Source organism: Homo sapiens, chromosome Y, assembly GCF_000001405.40.
Source record: "Homo sapiens chromosome Y, GRCh38.p14 Primary Assembly".
In the NCBI taxonomy this organism is placed as follows: Eukaryota; Metazoa; Chordata; class Mammalia; order Primates; family Hominidae; genus Homo; species Homo sapiens.
The window spans coordinates 24,617,953-24,640,401 of NC_000024.10; the positions used below are offsets into that span (position 1 = coordinate 24,617,953).

General features: G+C 42.2%; 1 protein-coding gene across 1 annotated transcript; it reads left to right on the forward strand.

Annotated features, from left to right (window-relative positions):
* The first annotated feature begins 51 nt into the window (after positions 1-51).
* On the forward strand, positions 52-21,255 carry BPY2B (basic charge Y-linked 2B). Its single transcript, NM_001002760.1, has 9 exons — positions 52-82; positions 358-480; positions 3,546-3,682; positions 8,092-8,210; positions 10,270-10,387; positions 13,242-13,347; positions 14,040-14,164; positions 20,715-20,839; positions 20,934-21,255. Exons 4-7 carry the CDS (start codon positions 8,133-8,135, stop codon positions 14,056-14,058), a joined length of 321 nt encoding a protein of 106 aa, NP_001002760.1. The 5' UTR covers positions 52-82; positions 358-480; positions 3,546-3,682; positions 8,092-8,132; the 3' UTR covers positions 14,059-14,164; positions 20,715-20,839; positions 20,934-21,255.
* Positions 21,256-22,449: the final 1,194 nt, after the last annotated feature.

The window sequence follows — 22,449 nt, forward strand, 5'->3', positions numbered from 1 at the left end:
CTTAGGTGATGTAACTCTCTTGACTGGGTCCTTTTCTAAGGGGGGCTTGTGAATATCTCAGGACCCAGGACCATGTGATATGGTATTCAGCCTTGTTTTTTCCCACATATTAAAGTGTGACATATACCTAAAGAAGCACCTAGGTGATATGATTCTCTTTTTCTGCCTGATCCCTGCCTACTGGTGACATTCGGCCATATCTCTGAGCACATAACCTATATGATGTGACTCTCTTATTCTGTCTGCGCTTTGACAATAAGAAGACTGTGAAATGTTAATGAGCCCAGCACTTAGGTAACGTAAGTCTTGTCTGGTTGCTGAACAACCCCCACAAACAAGACTTTTGCTGTATTTCAGGGCCCAACACCTGGATGATGTTACTCTTCTGCCTAGGTCATGCGTAAAGAGGGAATTAGGGCATATTGCTTGGCCCAGTCCCGTAATGATATGACTCTCCTGCTTGTGCCAGAGCCACAGAAGGTATTTTGATATATCTTGTTCCCTTTCTGTACGTGTTTTGGCTCTCATAACTTTGCTGGTATTCTTCCACGTGTTGTTGTAGCATATTGCTGGTTCCAGCCCCCAGTTAATGTGACCCTCTTTCCTAGGCCCTGCCTAGGTAGAGTATTGTGACATATTGCTTGGAACAGCACCTAAGTGATGTTAACCTTCTGCCTAGATTTTGCCCACAAATGGGGTTATGACAGATACCTTGATTCAGTTCAAAAACATGATGATCAAGCTTATATCGGGATTCAGCCAACAGGAGATATTTTGCCTTGCATTGCTAGGTTTACATCAATAAGTTAGTCCCTTCATTGCATATTTATACAGAGCTCAGAGAAACTTACAACACTGATTCATATCATAAAACCTTCCTGGGTGGTACAGAGATATTTATGACGGATCCCAACAAAAAATTGAGATTGTGAATCTCCACTACACATTCAAATGCAAGTAAAAGTTGTTATCTTCTCACATTTACAAATCTCATTGTTAAGGTCCTGAGTCTAACAAGTGAATACAGGACCAAGTTGGAGTTGTGATTTTCAAAAGCTAATCTTGTCACGGGTGGGATGGTGACTCATACATATCTGGTCCCAGGTCACAGGCTTAAAAACAGTCTCATCTCTGAAGCCAGCCTAGAGAAGAGATGTTGAGAGTCATACCTTGGTTTAGGGCAATATGTAAGATCATGAGTTCATATAAGCATGTGGGCCTCAGAGAGGTTTTCAACTCTCAGGCATGTTGTATAGTGTTCTCAGATATTGCAGAGAATGTCATACAAGGGTCAGCACACACATGAGATTGTGACTGTCATATAAACAACTAGCTAACCATTAATTGTGTCACCGTTAAAGGTGAAGAGATTGTGTCATATCACTTGGCGTCATACCCCAGTGTTGAGACATTTTTGTTTAAATTCCTTTCCAAAAGGGCATTGTCACATATCACTGGGTCAGAATAATGATAATGGCCTTGAAAACAGGGGATATTTTCACACACCCCCAAGCCTATTGGCCAGGTGATATGTCTCTCCTGCTAGTGCATTGCCCACAGGGGACATTGTGATATATCACTAGATACAGCATCTAGGTAATACTCCTGCCTGGAACCTGTCCACCAAATAAATTGTGACATACAACTGAGTGCAAAACCTAGGTGACATGACTCTCCTATTTGTCCTGGACTCTGCCAAGACAGGGAATTTCTACATATTGCTGAGCCCAGCACCCAGGTGTTGTGATTCTTTTTTTACTTTTATTTTTCATCAAATCTGTCTACATTGGGCATGGTGACATATTACCTGAGGGTCTACCCAGGTGATGTGGCTCTTCAGCCTGATTTCTGCTCACATGTTAGATTGTGACATACAACTAGGAAAGCACCTAGGTATATGACTCTCCTTTTCAGCCCATGCCCTGCCCTACTGGGACAGTGGGATCTATCTCTGAGCCCAAGACCTAAGTGAAGTGACTCTCTTCTTCAGTCTGGTCTTTGCAGTGACGGCATTGTGACATATTGCTGAGCCCAGCACTCAGATTTATTGACAGCTATTTCTCTTGAACCATGCAAACAAACAGAAATGTTGACCTATTGCAGGGCTCAGCACACATATAATGTTACTCTTTTGCCTGGATTTTGCGTACACGGAGAATTATGGCATATACTAATATATAATAATAGCACACTAAAAATGTGACTGTCATGCTTTCCTGCAGCTACAGAAGGCATTTTGACATATACTGAGCTTATTCTGTAGATGTCTTGGCTCTGATTTTTTGCCTGTTCTTTTTCTACATATGGGATTGTGTCATATTGCTGTGTCCAGTACCCAGTTAATATGACTTAATTCCTATACGCTGCCTAGAGATGGCATTGTGGCATGATGCTTGGCACAGCACAGTGATGTTACACCCCTGCCTAGTTTTGGCCCACAAATAGGATTATGACATATACCTTACTTCAGTTCACAGGCATGATGGTCTAAATTACACTGGGAATCAGCCAAAGGAGATATTTTGCCTTTTATCACTAGAACAAGGGAAATAGGTGAGGTTGTGGGTTGCATATTTGTACCAAACTCAAAGACCTTTACAACACTAACTCATAATGTATAAATGTGTGGAGTACAGAGAGTTTCATGACAGGGAGTAGCAAAAATTCAGATTGGGACTCTCGATTACACAACCAAGTAAAAGCAAACGTTGTCACTATTCCATATGTCCAAACCTCACTGTTAAGGTCTTGAGTCTAACAAGTGAATACAGTACAACATCAGAATTGTGACCTTCATATGTGGATCTGGCCACGGGTGGGATGGTGACTCATTTCTGGATCCAGCTTACAGGCATAATAAACTGTCTCATCCCTGAACCCAAACTGCAGAAGAGATGTTGACTATTATACCTGAGTTTAGGGTAATATGTAAGATCATGAATCCATACAAACATGTAGGCCTCAGAGTGGTTTGCAACTCTCACGCATGCTGTATAAAGCCTTCAAATGTCACAGAGTGTCAATCAACAGCCCAGGAAACACATGAAATTGTTATATTCATGTAGACAGTCAGTTCACAGTTAATGGTGTCACCCTCAAAGGCAACAAAATTTGGTATATTACTAGGCCATGTACCCACCTGTTGAGACATTTTGGCATAAATTCTTTCCCACAGGTGCACTGTGACGTATCACTGGGTTCATATCATTGTAATGTGACTCTTCTGTCTGGACCCTGCCAACAGGGGATATTATCACATATCTCTGGACCTATAAGTAGGGGAATTTTTCTCTCCTGCATGTTCCCTGCCCCCAGAAGGCATTGGAAAATATTAACTTAACATCTGGGTCACGTGATTCTACTCTCCTGCCTGGGTGTGGCTCACCAAAGAAGTTGTGACATAGCACTGATTGCAAAATCTATGTGATGTGGCTTTCCTTCATATTCTAGACTCTTCCAAGCCAGCAGATTATTACAGTTTGCAAAGCCCAGCACTGAGGTAGAGTAGAGTGACACTCCTCTTTTTCTTTTTTTCCTGGCAATAGTGTGCTTGGTGACATAATCTTTGAGGCTGTCACATCACCAAGATTATATTGTATCACTGGACCAGCATAAAGCTGACACTTCTGACTATGCCCAGCCTTCAAATAATACTACACTGTATAATTGGCTCAACACCCAGGTAATGTGACTTTCCTTTCTTGTCCCTGCTCACAGGCCAAGTTTTGACATATATCTGGGTTAAGCACACATGCAGAATAATAACTCTCATACCTGGACCCAGCCAGTAGAGATAATTGACTCTCATAGGCAGTCTCACGACAATGGGTTATGTCCTGAGTTTTTCAACTGTATAAAGTTCACAAAGGATTATAACACTCGGGTATATCATATACAGCCTTAATTGTACAATGAGTGTCATAAGAGAGGCCAGAAATGAAGTGAGAATGGGACTTTTAAATGCACACCCAGCTGACATGATTGTCATTCTCACACATGAACAGGGCGTAGGAATGAGATACTAATCTCACACATAAAAAAACAGTCAAATGTTTAAATAATTACTCTTACACATAGATCTGATTCACAGGTGGTTTGGTAAAGTTTGAACCATGATTCAGCACACCTGTGGTGTTGTGTCTTCCCTACTGGAACACAGTCTTCAAGGGGGATTGGGGCTCCTATACATGAATCTTGACCATTGTTGAGATTGTGACTCCTCTACTAAGATCTACCTCATAGAAAGAGTTGGCTCAGGTACAGGAAACTAGGTGTTGTGTGGCATGTGAAACTTATTTCCAAGCATATCTGAGAGTGTGATTTGGACAGGTAACCATGTCCAGCACATGAATAATCTGACTCTCTTTTCTAGGCCCAGAACTCGGATGAAATAGTGCCCTATGTTGAACAAGCACCTAAGAAATATGTAATACCTTCTTTGGCCTTGTCTGCAAAGGGCACTTTCATATATCACTGGGACCATCACCCAGGTGATGTGAATTATCTGCCTAAAACCTGCCTACAAGAGGAATTGTGTTTTATATCTACATCCACCATGAATTGAAGTGACTCCCTTCTACTGCCTTGGCCCTGCCCTTACAGTGCATTTTGACACATAAGCAGAAACTGTGTCCAGGAGATCATTGTCCTTTTTGCGTTCTGCCAACTGGAACATGGTAACATATCACTTAGCTCAGAATGTAGGTGATGTTTCCTCGCATTGTCCTCGCCCTGACCACAGGGAGATTGTGACATATTTCTGGGTCCAGCACCCTTGTGAGGTCACTCTCCAGCCTTGGTAATGCACATAAGAAGCATTGTGACAAATAGCTAGGCCAATTGCCCAAGTGAAGTGAGTGTCCTCTCTAGCAAAAATCCTGCCCAGAGAAGAGGTTTTGATATTTCACTGACACCAGCATCCAGGTGATTTGACTCTTCTGCCAGGGTCCTGTCCACAAGGTAGACTGTGACTTCTCACTGAATCCACACCCATGTAGCTGATGAGATTTTCTTCTCTTCTCTCTGGCCACTGCCGATATTGTGCCTTATACAAGAGACCATAAATAAAAGCCTAATAACAACACATATATCTGGAGCCAGGACATGTGCAGCATGGTGACTCTTAGTCTTAAAGCGATACACAAGTGTAACTGTGACATATACCTTTACCCAGCTCCTTAGTGATTTAATAATTCTGCATAGGTATAGCATCAAAATGAGATTTTGACAAATCCTTGGTATAAGCATCTTCATGATTTGACTGTGTTATCTTAATAATATCCACAGGCGTGACTGTAACGTATTTCTGGCCCATCACATAGGTTACATGACTGTTCTCTCCCACCTGTACATGATTTTCTTTGGTAACTGTATCATTTCTAAACACTGTATCCAAATGATATGACTCTCTTGCCTGGGCCCTGTCAAGAGGAGGCATAGTGACATATTTTGGGTTCCATCATTTACCTGATATGGCAGCTCTCCTCTCCTGCTTGGACACTGCCAATAAGGGACACTGTGCCACCAAGCTGGATCTAGCACACAATTTATGTGGCATTTCTACAGGATCCTGCCTACAAAGAGAATATTGGAATATTTCTGGCCAAGAATTTAGGTGATGTGATTGTTCTGCCTGCTTCATAACCACAGAGAGTAATATTTGTACACAGAGAGTTGCATATTTGTACAAAGTCCAAAGATTACAACACTAACTTATATTGTATAAACTCATTGGTGGTAAAAACTTTCATAACAGGGCCCAGTAGAAAGTTCAGATTTGGAGTACTGATTATACACCCCAGTAAAATTAAAAGTTGTCACCATCCTACATATACAATGCCCACTGTGGAATACGGCACAAAGTTGCAATTGTGAATTTATATGTGGATCTGTCTGGAGGTGGGATAATAATGGGTCTTCTCCTTTAACCCTACATATAAAAGAGATGCTGACTATCAAATCTGAATTGAGGGCAATGTGTAAAATTGTGAACCCATATGAGCATGCAGGTCGCTGAGAGGTTTACAACTCTCATGCAGGTTTTATAAAGCCCTCGGATGTAAAGAGTGTCATACATTGGCCCAGCATACATGTGAGATTGTGATTCTAATATTCAACCTTAGCTGAAAGTTAAAGGTGTCACCCTAAAAGATGAGGAGAGTGTGTCTTATCACTAGGCCTGGTAACCAAGTGTTGAGAATTAGGGCTTAAATTTTGCCCATAGGTGCATTGTGAATTATCACTGGGTCAGAATCCTAATAATGTGAAACTTCTTCTTGGACCCAGCCAACAGGGGATATTATCACGTATCTCTGGGCCTATCAGCTAGGTGATGTGGTGTCTCTCATGCCAGTGCCCTGCCACAGTGGACACTGGGACATATCACTATAGTATCTAGGTAATGTGACTCTCCACTCCTGCCTGGATTCTGGCCACTGAAGAAATTTTGACATACCACTGAGTGCAAAACCTAGGTGATGTGACTCTCTTCTTTGTCTTGGACTCTGCCAGTGAGCTTTGTCTTGAACTCTGCTAATGAGGAAATAATAAAATATTGCTGAGCCCATCACCTAGGGGCGTGACAATCCTCTATTTTTCAATCCAGGGTTTAGTGGTCATGATAATATTATCTGAGACTGTATCCAGGTGATATGACTGTTCTGACTGGGTCCTGACTAAAAAGGAAATTATAACGTATCCCTTGCTCAGCAACCAGATAATGTAACTCTTCTCTCTTGTCTCTGTCCAAAGGTGAAATTGTGATGTATACCTGGATTCAGCTCATATAATAACTGGATTCAGCACAATAATAACTCTCATACCTAGACCTAGCCAGTGGGAGATATTTGACTTTCACAGGCAGTCTTAAGGCCATGGGTAAAGTCCTAGATCTCCCACCTGTAATAATTTACGGGAAATTATACTACTCAGGCATATCATATAAAGCCTGAATGTTACAAAGAGTTTCATAACAGGTACCTGCAACCAGGTTCCATTGTGACTCTTGGATGCATAGACAACTGACATGATTTTCATCTTCACACATGTACAGAGCCTACAAATGAGGTAGTAAATCTCACACACATAAGCAGTTGAAGCTTGAAATTGTTACTCTCATACACGAATCTGATCCATAGGTGATTTGGTGATGTTTGAACTATGATTTAGTCAAACTGTGGTACTTTGACTTTCCTACTGGAACACAATCTTCAAGTGGGATTGAGACTCTTCTATGTGGATCTTTCCTATTTTTGAGATTGTGACACCTGTACTTCAACCCAACTTATAGGAGGTGTTGACTCTCATACCCAAATCCAGGACTTGTGTGGGACTGTGAAACTTATTTCTGAACATTTTTGAGTGTGTAACTGAGAAGTATAACTTTGCACAGAATCTGAGTGTTTTGACTCTCCTTTCTAGGCCCAGAGCACAGTTGAAATTGTGACTTACATGCACCAAGCACCTAAGCAATAAGTAACATCTTTTTTGGTAATGAAACATAGGGCACTTTTACATATCACTGAGATCAGCACTTGGCTGATGTGAAATCTTGGCCTGAGGCCTGCCTACAGAGAGCACTGTGGTTTTTATATAAGTTGATTACTTAAGTGACATGACTTCCTTCTACTGTCTTGGCCCTGCACTTCTGGTGGTGGATTGTGACACGTAACTAGGTACTGCACCCAGGTGATGTGACTTTTTTGGAGAATGAAGTTTCTGCCAGTAGGAAGCTTTGTAACGTATTACTTGGCTCAGCGACTAGGTGATATTTCTTTTCTCTTGCCTGTGCCCTGACCGCCAGAGAGATTGTGACATGTTGCTGAACCTAGCACCAAAGCGAGGGTTACTCCCCTGCCTTGATCCTACACATAGGGGCCATTGTGACGTATATTCAGGCCAATTGCCTAAGTGAAGTTTGTCTTCTCTCCTGCCTAAGTTCTGCTCACAGGGGGGATCTTATATGTCACTGAAACCAGCATCCGGATGATGTGACTCTTCTATCAGAGTCCTAGCCACAAGGACAATTGAGACATTTCACTGGACCAGCATCCACTAAGGTGATGGAACTTTCCTTTTTCTCTCTGCCCACAGGTGATATTGTTCCATTTACCTGAGACCAGATAAAAAGCCTAATGATGACGCTTGTCCCCAGAGCCAGGACACGTGCAGGACAGGATCATTACTCTCATCCCTGCCCCAGATTTTCACAGGTACTATTGTGACATACACCTTTACCCAGCTCCTGAGTGATTTAATAATCCTGCCTTGTTATAGCCCGCAGATGACATTTGGACCTACACCTTTCCCAGGAACCTTTGTGATTTTACTCTTGTGTCCTAACAGGTTCTCGGAAGTGATCATAACATATCTCTGGAGCCATTGTCTAGGTTACATGACTCTCCTCTTCTGCATGAACCCTGCTTCCAGTGAAGAGTAGCATTTCTAAGCACTGCACCCAAATGACATGAGTCTCTTGTCTGGGCTTTTTAAAGGGGGGGCTTTGTGATATCTCTCTGGGCCCTTCATTTAGGTGATATGACTCTCCTCTACTGCCTGGACACACTCCACAAAGGGCATTATGCCATAGAGCTGAGTCTAGCACCTAAGTTTTGTCATATTTCTGTTAGGGCCCTCTCTACAAAATAAAGTTGGGGTATTTCTGGCTTAGGATTTAGGTGATGTCGTTTTCTGCCTGTTTAATTACCACAGATGAGATGGCGCCGTATCTGTAGACACATCTAAAATACATGATAAGGACTCTCATATGTGAACCCAGCCAATAGGAAACATTTTGACTCTTATAACTAGGCTTAGGGAGATAAGTGATATCCAGCATCTCCTTCTGGTAAAAAGGTCACAGAAGATTACAACATTCACACATATTTTATAACATCCTTGTGTCGTATAGAGAGAGTCATAACAGGGCCTAGCACATGGAGAAAATTGGGATTCTCATATGTACATTCAGCTGACAGTAACGGCTTTCACCATTACAGATGATGAAGGCAATTGTCCCACATAAAAATAGAACACGCCTGATATTGTAAATCTAATCCCTAGAATTTTATTCCATCATGACTGATATAAATCTTTGCCAAGTGCCTGTGTGAGTTCACCCTTCAGATTGGTTCCAGCCTACCTATGGGATTTTGGTATCTACCTAAGCCAACCTTGAAGTGACGTGACTCTTTTGCCTGGGCCCTCCACTCAGAATTATAACATCATTGGATCCAGCACACAGGTGACGTTACATTCTTGCTTGCGCCATGCTCGCAGATATCATTGTGACATATTGCAGTGTCCATCAGTTAGAAGATGTCACTCTCCTCTCTGGAAAGGGCCTTGAACACTGGGCAAAATAGTGACCTGTTTCTAGGCCAGGCACACAGGTGATGATGCTCTTTTCCCAGGGCTATGCCCAAAAAAGGGCATTTGACATATCACAGGACCTATCGTGTAGGTGATACGGCTCTTCTGCTTGAAACTTGCCCAATTGAATAGTGACATACTGCTAGGCCAGGCACAATGGTGATGGAACTCTTTTGCCAGGGCCATGCTTTCAAAAATGCCTTGTCATATATACCTGGTCCTATCACCAAGGTGATGTGACTTCCTGCTTGGTCCTGCCCACATGAAGTATTGAGACATAAGCGTGGAATCTGCACCTAGGTGACATAACTCTCTTGCCTGGGTCCTTTTCTAAGAGGGACTTGTGAATACCTCAGTACCCAGGACCACATGATGTGGCTCTTCAACCTGGTTTTCACCCACATATTAAATTGTGACATATAGCTAAAGAAGCATCTAGGTAATATGACTCTTCTTCTGTCTGAACCCAGCCTACTGGTGATATTGGGCCATATTTCTAAGCCTGTGACCTAAGTGATGTGACTCTATTTTTGTCTAGGGCTTTACAATGGTAAGATTATGAGATATTGATGAGCTCAGCATTTAGGTAATGTGACTCTCATCTTGTAACTGAACAACGCCCAGGAACAGATCTTTTGCCGTATTTCAGGGCCCAGTACCCAGATGAAGCTGCTCTTCTGCCTAGGTTGTGCATAAAGAGAAAATTGTGGCATATTTCTTGGCCTAGAACCCTAATGATGTGACTCTCCTGCTTGTGCCAGGACCGCAGAAGGTATTTCGACATATCTTTGGCCCATTTTCTAGGTGTTTTCACTCTTACCACTTTGCTGAATTTCTTCCACGTGTGGTTGTATTATATTGCTGACTCCAGCCTGCAGTTAATGTGGCCCTCTTTCCTAGGTGCTGCTTACAGAGGGCATCATGACATATTGCTTGACAAAGAACCTAAGTGATGTTAATATTCTGCATAGGTTGCTAAAAAATGGGAATGTGAGAAATACCTTGCTTCAGTCCAAAGGTATGATGATCAAGCTTATGTTGGGATTCAGCCAATAGGAGAGATTTTTCCTCTCACCACCAGGTTTAGGTCAAAGAGTCAGGTTACTCATTGCACATTTCTACAAAGCTCACAGTAGTTTACAACACTAACTCATGTAATAAAAATTTCCTGGGTGATACAAAGGGTTTCTTAACAGTGCCCAGCAAACAGTTAAGATTATGATTCTTGACTGCACACTCAGATGAAAGTAAGTTTTTACCATCCTACATCTACAAAGCCCATTGTTGAGATCCTGAGTCTAAGCAAATACACCACAAAGATGGAGTTGTGACTTTCATAAATGAATATGGCCGCAGGTGGGATGGTGACTCATTTTTGGAGCCAACTCTCAGTCATAATAATGATCTCATCCCTAACACCAGTCTATAGGAGAGATGCTGACTGTCATACCTGGGTTTAGGGCAATATGCATAATCATAATTCTGTAAATGCCTGTAGGCCTCAGAGAGGATTGCAACTCTCATGCATGTTGCATAACGTTCTCAGGTATTATAGAGAGTGTCATACAATGGCAAGCACACACATGAGATTGTGACTCTCTTATACACAGATAGCTAACATTTAATGGTGTCACCCTTAAAGATGAGGAGATTTTGTCATATATCTTGCCCTACTAGCTGGTGTTGAGAACTTTTAGTTTAAATTTCATTCCATTAGGGCATTGTTACATATCACTGGGTCAGAATCAAAATAATGTGACTCTTCTTCCAGGGCCCTGCAAACAGAGGATATTTTCCCATATCTCCAGGCCTATTGGCTATGTAATATGTCTCTCCTGCCAGTACTTTGCCCAGAGGAGACACTGACATATTGCTGGATTTAGAATCTAGGAAATTTGACCCATCTTTACTGCCTGGATCCTCCTCACTGAAAAAATTGTCATATACCATTGAGTGCAGAGCCTAGGTGACAGAAGTCCCCTTTTTTTCCTGGACTCTGTCAAGAGAGGGAATTGTTACATATTGGTGAGCAGAGCACCCACGTGGTGTCATTATCTAATTTTATAAGAAACCTATCTATGCTGGGGATGGTGACATATTACTTGCAGTTGTACCCAGGTGATGTGGCTCTTCTGCCTGGTTTCTGCCCGTGGGTAAGGTTTTTGGCATATAACTAGGGAAACATTTAGGTGATATGAGTCTCCCTTTCTGCCTGGGCCCTGTTCACTGGGTACACTGGACTATATCTCTGAGCCCATGAACTAAGGGAAGTGACTCTCTTTTTCTGCTGGGTCTTTACAATGGAGAGATTGTGAAATATTGCTCAACCTAGCAATCAGGTTATTTGATTCACCTTTTTTTTTTTTAATCTCAAATCATGCCCACTAACAGAAATTTTGGCCTATTGCAGGGCCCAGCACCCAGATAATGTTACGCCTTTACGTGGGTCCTGTATGTAGAGAATATTATAACATACTGCTGGGCCCAGCATCCTGAAAATATAAAACTCATGACTTTGCTGGAGGCAGAGAAGGTATTTTCACAGATCCTGGGCCCATTATGTAGGTGTTTTGGCTCTTATCTTTTTGCTGTTTTTTTTTTTTTTTTTTTCACTTTTGTTTTTGTTTGTTTCCACATAATGGATTGTTTCATATTGCTGAGTCCAGAACTCAGTTAACATGACTCTAATTCCTCTATGTTACCTAGAGAGGGCACTGTGGCATGTTGCTTGGCACAACACCTAAGTGATGTTACCCTCGGGCCTACTTTTTTTGCTCACAAATGGGACTATGACTTCAGTTCACAGGCATGATGGTCAAATTTATACTGAGATTCAGCCAATAGGAGATATTTTACCTTTCATTGCTAGGCTTTGGGCAATACATAAAGTCTGGGTTGCATATTTGTACCAAGCTCACAGAGCTTTACAACACTAACTCATAATGTATGAACTTCTTTGTTGGTATAGAGAGTTTGGTGATAGGGACCAGTGAAGAGTTCAGTTTGAGATTCTTGATTACACACCCAGGTAAAAGCAAGTGCTGTCATCATTCTACATGTCCAAAGGCCATTGTTAAGAACCTGAGTTTTACAAATGAATGCAGTGCAAAGTTGGAATTGTGACTTTCGTATGTGGATCTGGCCACAGGTGGGATTGTGACTTATTTCTAGATCCAGCTCACAGGCATAAAAATGAGTCTCATTTCTAACCCAGCCTATAGAGGAGATGCTGACTATTATACCTGGGTTTAGGGGAATATGTAAGGTCATGAATCCATGTGAATATGTAGGCCTTAGAGTGGTTTGAAACTCTCATGCGTGATGTATAAAGCTTTTGAAAATTGTTGAGAGTCATGCAACGGCCCAGGATACTAGTGAAATTGTTACTCTCATATACACACCCAGCTCAGAGTTTATAATGTCACTCTCAAAGACAAGGGGATTTGGCCTATTAATAGGCATAGTGCTTAGGTGTTGAGACTATTTGGCTTAAATTCCTTTCCTTGGGTGGATTGTAACATATCACTGTGTTAGAATCATAATGTGTCTCTTCTGTCTGGACCCTGCCAAAAGGGGATATTATCACATATCTATGGGTCTATAAGCTAGAGGATTTGTCTCTTCTGACAGTGTCCTGCACCCAGAAGACATTGTGAAATATTGTTTGGCTTAACATCTAGGTAATGTGATTCTCACCTCCTGCCTGAGCCTTGCTCAGCAAACAAATTGTGACATACCGCTGATTGAAAAACCTACATGATGTGACTCTCCTTCATATTCTAGACTCTACCAAGAGAGAGGGTTGTTACATATTGCGGAGTCCAGCACATAGGTGGACTGACTGTCCTCTCTTTTTTCTTCCCTGTCCATAGTGGGCTTGCTGACATATTATGTGAAACTGTACCCGGGTGAAGTGACTCTTCTGACTAGGCCCAGCATACAAATGAGATTATGCTGTATCACTGGCTCAGTGTCGAGGTGAGTTGACTCCCTTTCCTTGTCTCTGCTTACAGGTGAAATTTTGACACGTACCTGGGTTAAGCACGCATGGACAAAAATAACTCTCATACCTGGGCCCAGCCTGTAGGAATATTTTGACTCTCATAGCCAGTCTCACGGCCATGGGTAAAGCCCTGTGTTTTTCACTTGTATAAAAGTCACGAAGGATTATAATACTCAGGTATATCATATAAAGCATTAATGGTGCAAAGAGTGTCATAACAGAGACCAGCAACCAGGTAAGAATATGACTCTTGTATGCACACTTCACTGAAATGATTGTCATTCTCGCATATTAACAGGGTCTAGGAATGAGGGACTAAATCTCACACATAAAAAGCAGTCGATGTTTGAAATAATTACTCACCTACATGGACCTGATCCACAGGTGGTTTGTTAACATTTGAACCAGGATTCAGCACACCTGTGGTGCCGTGACTCCCCTCCTGGACCACAATGTTCAAGGGGGATTGCGGCTCTTATACATGAATCTTGCCCATTGTTGAGATTTTGACTCCTCCATTTTGATCCAACTTACAGAAAGAATTGACTCACATACACAAAACCAGGACTTGTGTGGGATGTGAAACTTATTTCCGAACATATATGAGAGTGTCATATTGGGATAGGTCACTTTGTCCAGCAAATGAATAATTTGACTCATTTTCTAGGCCCAGATCACAGAAGTAATTGTGCCATATGTGGAACAAGCAGCTAAGCAATAGATAACATCCATCGTGGCTCTGCCTTCAAAGGGAAATTTTACATATGTCACTGGGACCATCACCCAGATGATGTGAGTTATCTGCCTGAAACCTTTCTACAAAAGGAATTTTGTTATATATCTAGGTCCATCCTGTAAGTGATGTGACTCTCTTCTACTTCCTTGGCCATGCACTTACAGGGCATTGTGACAAAGAACTGGGTACTGCATTCAAGTGATGTGATTCTTCTTTTTGGGTTCTGCCAACAGGAAGCATTGAACATATCACTTGGCTCAGTACCTAGGTGATGTTTCTTCACTTTCGCCTTGGCCCAGACCACAGGCAGATTGTGACATATTTCCTGGGACAAACACCTATGTGAGGCCACTCTACAGTTTGGTTACTGCACGGAATAGACATTGTGGCAAACATCTAGGCCAACTGCCTTTGTGAAGTGAGTCTCCTCTCTTGCCAAAGCCCTGCCCAGAAGAGAGGCTTTTGATATGTCACTGAAATCCAGGTGCTGTGGCTCTTCCACCAGGTTCCTACCCACAAGGTGAATAGTGATGTCTTAGTGGCCCAGACCCACATAGGTGATGGGACTTTCTTGTGTTCTCTCTGGCCACAGGTGATATTCTGCCATGTACCAGAGACCAAAACAAAAGCCTAGTAACAACTCATATGACTAGAGCATACGACTTGTGCAGGATGGTGACTCTTAGACTTAAGCCTTTCCACAAGTCTGATTGTGACATATACCTTTGCTCAACTCCTGAGTGATTTAATAATTCTGCCTAGGTATAGCAAATGAGATTTTGACAGATACATTGGTCAAGCACCTTGGTGATCTGGCTGATGTATCTTGAAATGTCCTCAGGGGCTCTTGTAACATATTTCTGTGCCCTTCATCTAGGTTACGTGACTCTTCTCTCCTGCCTGTACCCTGCTTCTTTGGTGGATTGTAGTATTTATAATCCCTGCATCCAAATGATATGACACTCTTGCCTGGGACCTGTCAACAGGAAGAATTGTGACAAAATTTTGGGCCCATCATTTAGGTGATATTACTCTCCTCTCCTGCCTAGACACTGTCCACAAGGGATATTGAGCCATAGAGCTGGACATAGCACATAAGTTATGTGATATTTCTGAGAGGGCTCTGACTACAAAAAGAATATTGGAATATTTCTGACCCAGCATTTATGTGATATGGCTGTCAGGCCTCCTTCTTAACCACAGAGTGAATTGTAACATATACCTATGCATGGCTCACAGCCATGATAATGACTCTCATGTGTGGACTCAGCCAATAGAGGATATTTTGCATCTTATAACTCAGTTTAGGGACATGCATGATGTCCTGGATCTCCTTCTTGTACAAAGGTCACAAAATATTACAACACTCATACATATTTTACAAAGTCTTTGGGTCATACACACAAAGTCAAAGCAGGGCTCAGCACACAGATGAAATCATGAGTCTTGTTTGCACACCCAGCTGAAAGTAAGAACTCATTATCTCACATGGATAAAGGTAACTGTCACACATGAAACAGGGCATGTGTGGTAAGATGGTAAATCTCATCTTTGGAATTTTCTGACAGTGTGAGTATGATATAAATTTTTGCTAAGCACTTGTGTAATCTGAGGCTCCGGACTTGTTCCAGCTCATAGGTGGGGTTATGAAATCTACCTAGGCCAACCTCGAGGTGACATGACTTTCCTGCCTTGTCCTATCTCTCAGTAATGATTGTGACATATCACTGGACCTAGCTCCCAGGTAACGTTACATCCTTACTTGCACCCTGCCCACCAAAATTATTGTGACATATTTCTGTGTTTACCTCATAGTTGATGTGAGTCTCCTCTCTGGAATGGGCACTGCACAACAGAATGATAGTGACATAGCGCAAGGACCGGCGCACAGGCAAGGTTCCTCCTTATCCTGTGGATGCCTGGAGGAGGGCAATGTGACATATCTCTGGGTCTATCACCTACATTATGTGGCTCTCCTGCTAGGGTCCTTCCAACCTCGAAAGTGACACGCTTCTAGGCCAGGCACACAGGTGATGGTACCCTTTTCCAGGGCTATGCTTCACACAGTACATTGTGACATATCTCTGGGCCTATCACCTAAATGAAGTGACTCTCTCCCTGGGTCCTAACCAGATGAAGCATTGTGTCATAAGCAGAGACCCTTCACCTAGTATGATGTATTTCTCTTGGCTAGGTGCTGTGTTAAGAGCACTTTGTGACATATCACAGGACCCAGCACCCAAGTGATGTGGCTCTTCTGCATAGTTTCTGCCCCCATGTTAAATTGTGACATATTTTGATGGAAGCACATAGGTGATATGGCTGTCCTCATCTGCCTGAGCTCTGCCTCGTTGGAGTATTAGGACATATCTCTGAGCCCATGACCTAAGTGATGTGACTCTCTTTTCCTTCCTGGGCCTTCATAAAAGGAGGATTTTGTCACATTGCTGAGCCCAGGACTCAGGATATGTGACTCTCGGCTGTCCTCACCTGCCTGAGCTCTGCCTAGTTGGAGTATTAGGACATGTCTCTGAGCCCATGACCTAAGTGATGTGACTCTTTTTCTTCCTGGGCCTTCATAAAAGGAGGATTTTGTCACATTGCTGAGCCCAGGACTCAGGATATGTGACTCTCGGCTGTCCTCACCTGCCTGAGCTCTGCCTAGTTGGAATATTAGGACATGTCTCTGAGCCCATGACCTAAGTGATGTGACTCTGTTTTTCTTCCTGGGCCTTCATAAAAGGAAGATTTTGTTACATTGCTGAGCCCAGGACTCAGGATCTGTTTCTCTTCTCTTTCTCCTGAACCATGCCTACAAAAAAGAAATTTGACACATATTATTGCCCAGCATGCAGATCATGTTACTCTTCTGCATGGGATCTGCATAAAGAGATAATTATGGCATATTGTATATTGCTGGGCCCAGCACCCTTAAGATGTGATGCTCCTGCCTGTGCTGCTGATACCGAAAGTATTTTGACATATATTATGCCCATTATGTAGGTGTTTTGGCTCTCATAACTGGGCTGGGTTTCTTACACATGTGAAATTGTGTCGTATTTCTGGGTCCAGCACCCAGTTAACGTGACCCAATTTCCTACACCCTGCATACAGAAGGCATTGTGACATATTGCTGGGCACAGCATCTGAGTGATGTTACCCTTCTGCGTAGTGTTTTGCCCACATATGTCATTATAACATATACCCAGTTTAAGCTCACAGCCATGATGATCAAACTTATACTGGGATTCAGCCAATAGAAAATATTTGCCTTTCATTGTTAGGCTTGGGGCAATAGATAAGGTCCTGGGCTGCATATTTGTACCAAGCTCACAGAAACTTACACAACTAACTTACATTTTATAAACTCCTTTGTGGTAGAAATTTTTATAGCAGGGGCCAGCAAAAAGTTCAAATTGGGACTCTCGATTACACACCCAGGTGGAATTAAAAGTTGCCACCATCCCACATTTACAAAGCCCACAGTTGAGTCTTATACCTAAACCTTTCCGCAAGTGTAATTGTGACATATATTGTATTTCAGTTCCTGAGTGATTTAATAATTCTGCCTAGATATAGCCTACAAAAGCGATTTTGACAAATATCTTCATCAAGCACCTTGGTGATTTGACTGTGCTATCTAAAAAGTGTCCTCAGGCAAAATAGTCACATGTTTCTGGACCCATTATTTAGGGTATATGACTCTCCTCTTTGACCTGTACCCTGCTTCCTATAGTAATTGTACCTTTTCTAAACACTGCATTCAAATGACATGGCTCTCTTTTTTTGGAGAAACTCTCCTGTTGAGAGGCATTTTGACACATGCTTGAGCCCAGCTTTTAGGTCCTGTGACTCTCCTCTCCTGCCTAGACACAGCCCAAAATGAACATTGTGCAACAGAGTTGGATTTAGCACACAAGTTATGTGATATTTTGGACAAGACCCCTCCTGCAAAAAGAATACTGGAATATTTCTGGCCCAGCATTTAGGTGATGTGGCTGTTAGGCCTGATTCATAACAACAGAACAAATTATAACAAATACCTAGGCAGGGCTTGCAGGAATAATAATGACTCTTATATGTGGACTCATCCAACAGAGAATATTTTTACTCTTATAATTCAGTTTAGGGACATGCGTGATGTCCTGAATCACTTTCTTGTACAAACATCACAAAAGATTACAACACACACATTTTACAGAGTCTTTGGTTTATACAGAAAGAGTCAAAGCAGGGTTCAACTCAGGTGAAATTGTGAGTCTTGTATGCACACCCGCCTGACAGTAAGGACTGTCATCATCTCTCATGGATGAAGTCAACTGTCACACATGAAAACAGGACATGTGTGGTATTGTAAATCACATCTTTGGAATTTTCTGACAGTGTGATTGTGATATAAATCTTTGCTAAGCACCAGTGTAATTTGACTCTCCAGACTTGTTCCAGCCCATATGTGGGATTGTGATATCTACCTAGGCCAACCTCAAGGAGATGTGACTCTCCTGCCTGGGCCCTTCTCTCAGTAAGGATTGTACATATCACTGGATCTAGCATCCAGGTGATGTTCACATTCTTGCCTGTGCCACGCCAACCAAAATTATTGTGAACATATTTGTGTGTGCACCTCATAGGGATGAAACTCTGATCTCTGGAATGGGCCTTGCACAAAGGAAGGATGGTGACATATTGTGAAGCCAGGCATACAGCTGTGGGTACTTTTTGCCACAGCCATGCCCAAAGTAGGGCATTGTGACATATCTCTGCACCTATTACCTAGGTTAAGCGGCTCTCCTGCTTGGGCCCTGACAACCTGGAGAATGACATATTTCTAGGCCAGGCACACAGGTGATGATACTCTTTTGCCAAGACTATGCTTCACAGGGGACTTTGTGACCTATCTCTTGGGCCAATAAACTAGTTTATGGGACTAAATGCTTTGGCCTCACACACATAGAGCATTGTGACATGAAAGTGAAACCTGAACCAAGGTGATGTAACTCTTTCACCTTGGTTCTGAACTAATCGGGATTTGCAACATACCTTAGGACCCAGTACCCAGGTTATATGGCTCTTCTGTCTGGTTCTGCCCATGTGTTAGATTGAGACATACACCTAAAGAAGCACCAATGAGACACCACTCTCCTCTTCTGCCTGAATTCTGCCTGACTTCTGCCTACTGGGGACATTGGGACATGTTTCTAAGCCCATGACCTAAGTGATATGACTCTCTTCCCTTGCCTCAGCCTTTAAAATGCTGAAATTGTGATGTATTTCTGAGACCAGGATTTAGGTTATGTGACTATTTCCTTTTTTCTGAACCATGCCCACAAAGGGAAAATTTCACCTATTGCACTCAGATGATGTTACTCTTCTGCTGCAGTCCTGAATAATGAGGGAGTGATTGCATAATGGTAGGCCCAACACTCTAATGATGCTTCAGTCCCACCAGTGCCAGAGCCACAGAGGGCATTTTGACATATCTTCAGCCAAATCTGTAAGTGTTTTGGCTTTCATCCCTTGGTTGAGTTTCTTTTTTTAACAAGTAAAATTGTGTCATATTGCTAGGTCCAGCATCCAGATAACATGACCCTGCTTTCTGTATTCTGCCTAGAGACAGCACTGTGACATGCTGCGTGCCACAGCACCTAAGTGACATTACTCTTTTTGGTAATTTTTTGCCCACAAATGGGATTATAAAATATACCTTGCTTCAGTTTACAGGTATGATGGTCAAACTTACATTGTGATTCAGCAAATAGAAGATATTTTGCCTCTCATCGCAAGGCTTAGGGCAATAGGTAAAATCCTGGGTTGCGTATTTGAGGAAAGCTCACAGAACAATAATTAATATTGTATAAACTCCTTGGGTGGTACAGCGTTTCCTAACAAAGCCCAGCAAAAAGTTAAGATTGTGATTCTGAATTACACACACAATTGAAAGTAAAACTTGTCACCACCCCTCATTAAGAAAGCCCATTGCTGAGATACTGAGTCTAACAAGTAAAACAGTACAAAGATGGAATTGTGACTCTCATTTGTGGATTTTGCCACAGGTGCAACCATCACTCATTTTTAGACCCAGCTCACAGGCATAAAAATAAGCCTCATTCCTGAACTAAGCATAAATGAGAGATACTGACTCTCATATCTGGGTTTAAGGCAATATATAATATTCAGAGTCAAAATGAGCATGTGGACCTCAGAGTAGTTTGTGAATCTCACGCATGTTGTATAAAACTCTCAGATGTTCTAGAGGATGTCATACAATGGCCCAGCACACACGTGACAATGTGACTTACATACATATGAGTTAACAGTTAAAGGTGTCACCCTAAAAGATGAGGAGATATTGTCATATCATTGGGCCTAGTACCCAGGTGTAAAAACTGCTTTGTTTCCCATGTGTGCATTGTGACATATCGTTGGGTCAGAATCACAATAATGTGACTTTTTACTACTTGATCCTGCCAAGTAGGGATATTGTCACATATATCTGAGCCTATTTCTTGGGTGATTTGTCTATTTTGCTTCTGCTTTTTCACCAAAGAACATTGTGACATCATCGGTGATAACATCTAGGAAATGTGATTCTTCTCTCCTGCCTAGGTCCTGCCCACTAAAAGAATTGTGACATAACGCTGACTGCAAAAACTGGGTAATGCAACTCTCCTCTTTATTCTGGAGTCTGCCAAAACAAGGGATTATCACATATTGCGGAGTCCAGCACCCAGGTGATGTGAGTCTTCTCTGTTTCTCTAAGATTATAATGTATCCTGAGCTCACCATCCAGGTGATGAGACTCTCCTGCTCTGTTTCTGCCCGCAGGTAAAATTTTGTCATATACCCAGCTTCAGATACCATGCAATAATACAACTATCATACCTGGACCCAAAGAGGAGAGATATTTTGATTCTCATTGCCATTCTTATGGCCACAAGCAAAGTAATGGTTCTCATAGTGGTATAAAGTTCACACAGTATTATGACACTCCCAGCGTATCATAGAAAATGTGAGTAGTACAATGAGTGTTATAACAGGGAACAGCAAACCAATGCTATTGTGATTATTGGATTCACACCCAGCTGACGCGACTATCATTCTCTCACAAGAACAGAACCTGCAAATAAAGTACTAAATCTCACCAAAAGAGCAGTAAAAGATTGAAATTGTTCCTCTCATATGTGGATCTGACTCACAGGTGGTTTGGGGTTGCATGGTTCAGCACATCTGTGAGGCTGGGACTCTCCCCCTGGAATGCAGTTATCAAGTGGGATTGCCATCTTCTACATGGATTATGCCCATTGTTTAGATTGTGTCTCCTCTGTTTCGACCCAACTCACAGAAGGTGTTGACTTTCATACATAAAGCCAGGACTTGTGTGGGGCTGTGAAACTTACTTCAGAATATTTCCTGGTGTATGATTAGGACTTAAAAGTTAGCCCAGGTCCTGAGTAATTTGACTCTCCTTTTTAGGCCATAACCCGAGATGAAATTGTGACATATGTGGACCAAAAACCTAAGCAAAGGTGCCTGGGCCTGCCTACAAATGTCACTTTTACATATCACTGGGATGAGCAGCCAGGAGATGTGTATTATTTGCTTGATTCCTGCCTATATAAAGCATTGTGGCTTTTATCTAGGTCCATCATGTAAGTGACGTGACTCACTTCCACTGCCTTTGCCCTGTAATTATGGTGCATTGTGACACATAACTGGATAGTACACTCAGAAAATGTGACACTCCATTCTGGGTTCTACAAACAGAAAGCTTTGTAACATATCACTTGGCTTAGCACTTAGGTGATGTTTCTACTCTCCTACCTCACCCTGACCACAGGGGAGATTGTGACATATTGATAAACCCACCTCCAAGGTGAGGTCATTTTCATACTTTGGTTTTGCACCTAGTGGCCATTGTGACATATATCTAGGCCAATTGCCTAGATGTAGGTAAAGTGATTCTCCTCACCTTCTTAAGCCCTGCCCAACAGAAGAAATTTTGACATATCACTGAAACCAGCTTCCAGGTGATATGCCTCTTCTTCCAGGGTCCTGGCCACAAGAAAGATTGTGACATCTCACTGGACCAGCACCCTCACAAGTGATGTGACATTTCTGCTTGCTCTCTGTCCATAGACGATATCATGCCATATACTTGAGAGCAAACAAGAGGACTAATCATGACTGTTAGACCTGAAGCCAGGTCACATCAAAGATGGTGACTCCCATTGCTGAAACTTTCCACCAGTGTTATTGTGACATAGTCTATTTCCCATCTCTTGAGTGACTTAATCATCTTGCCTAAATGTTGCCCACAAATGAGATTTGGACATATTACTCA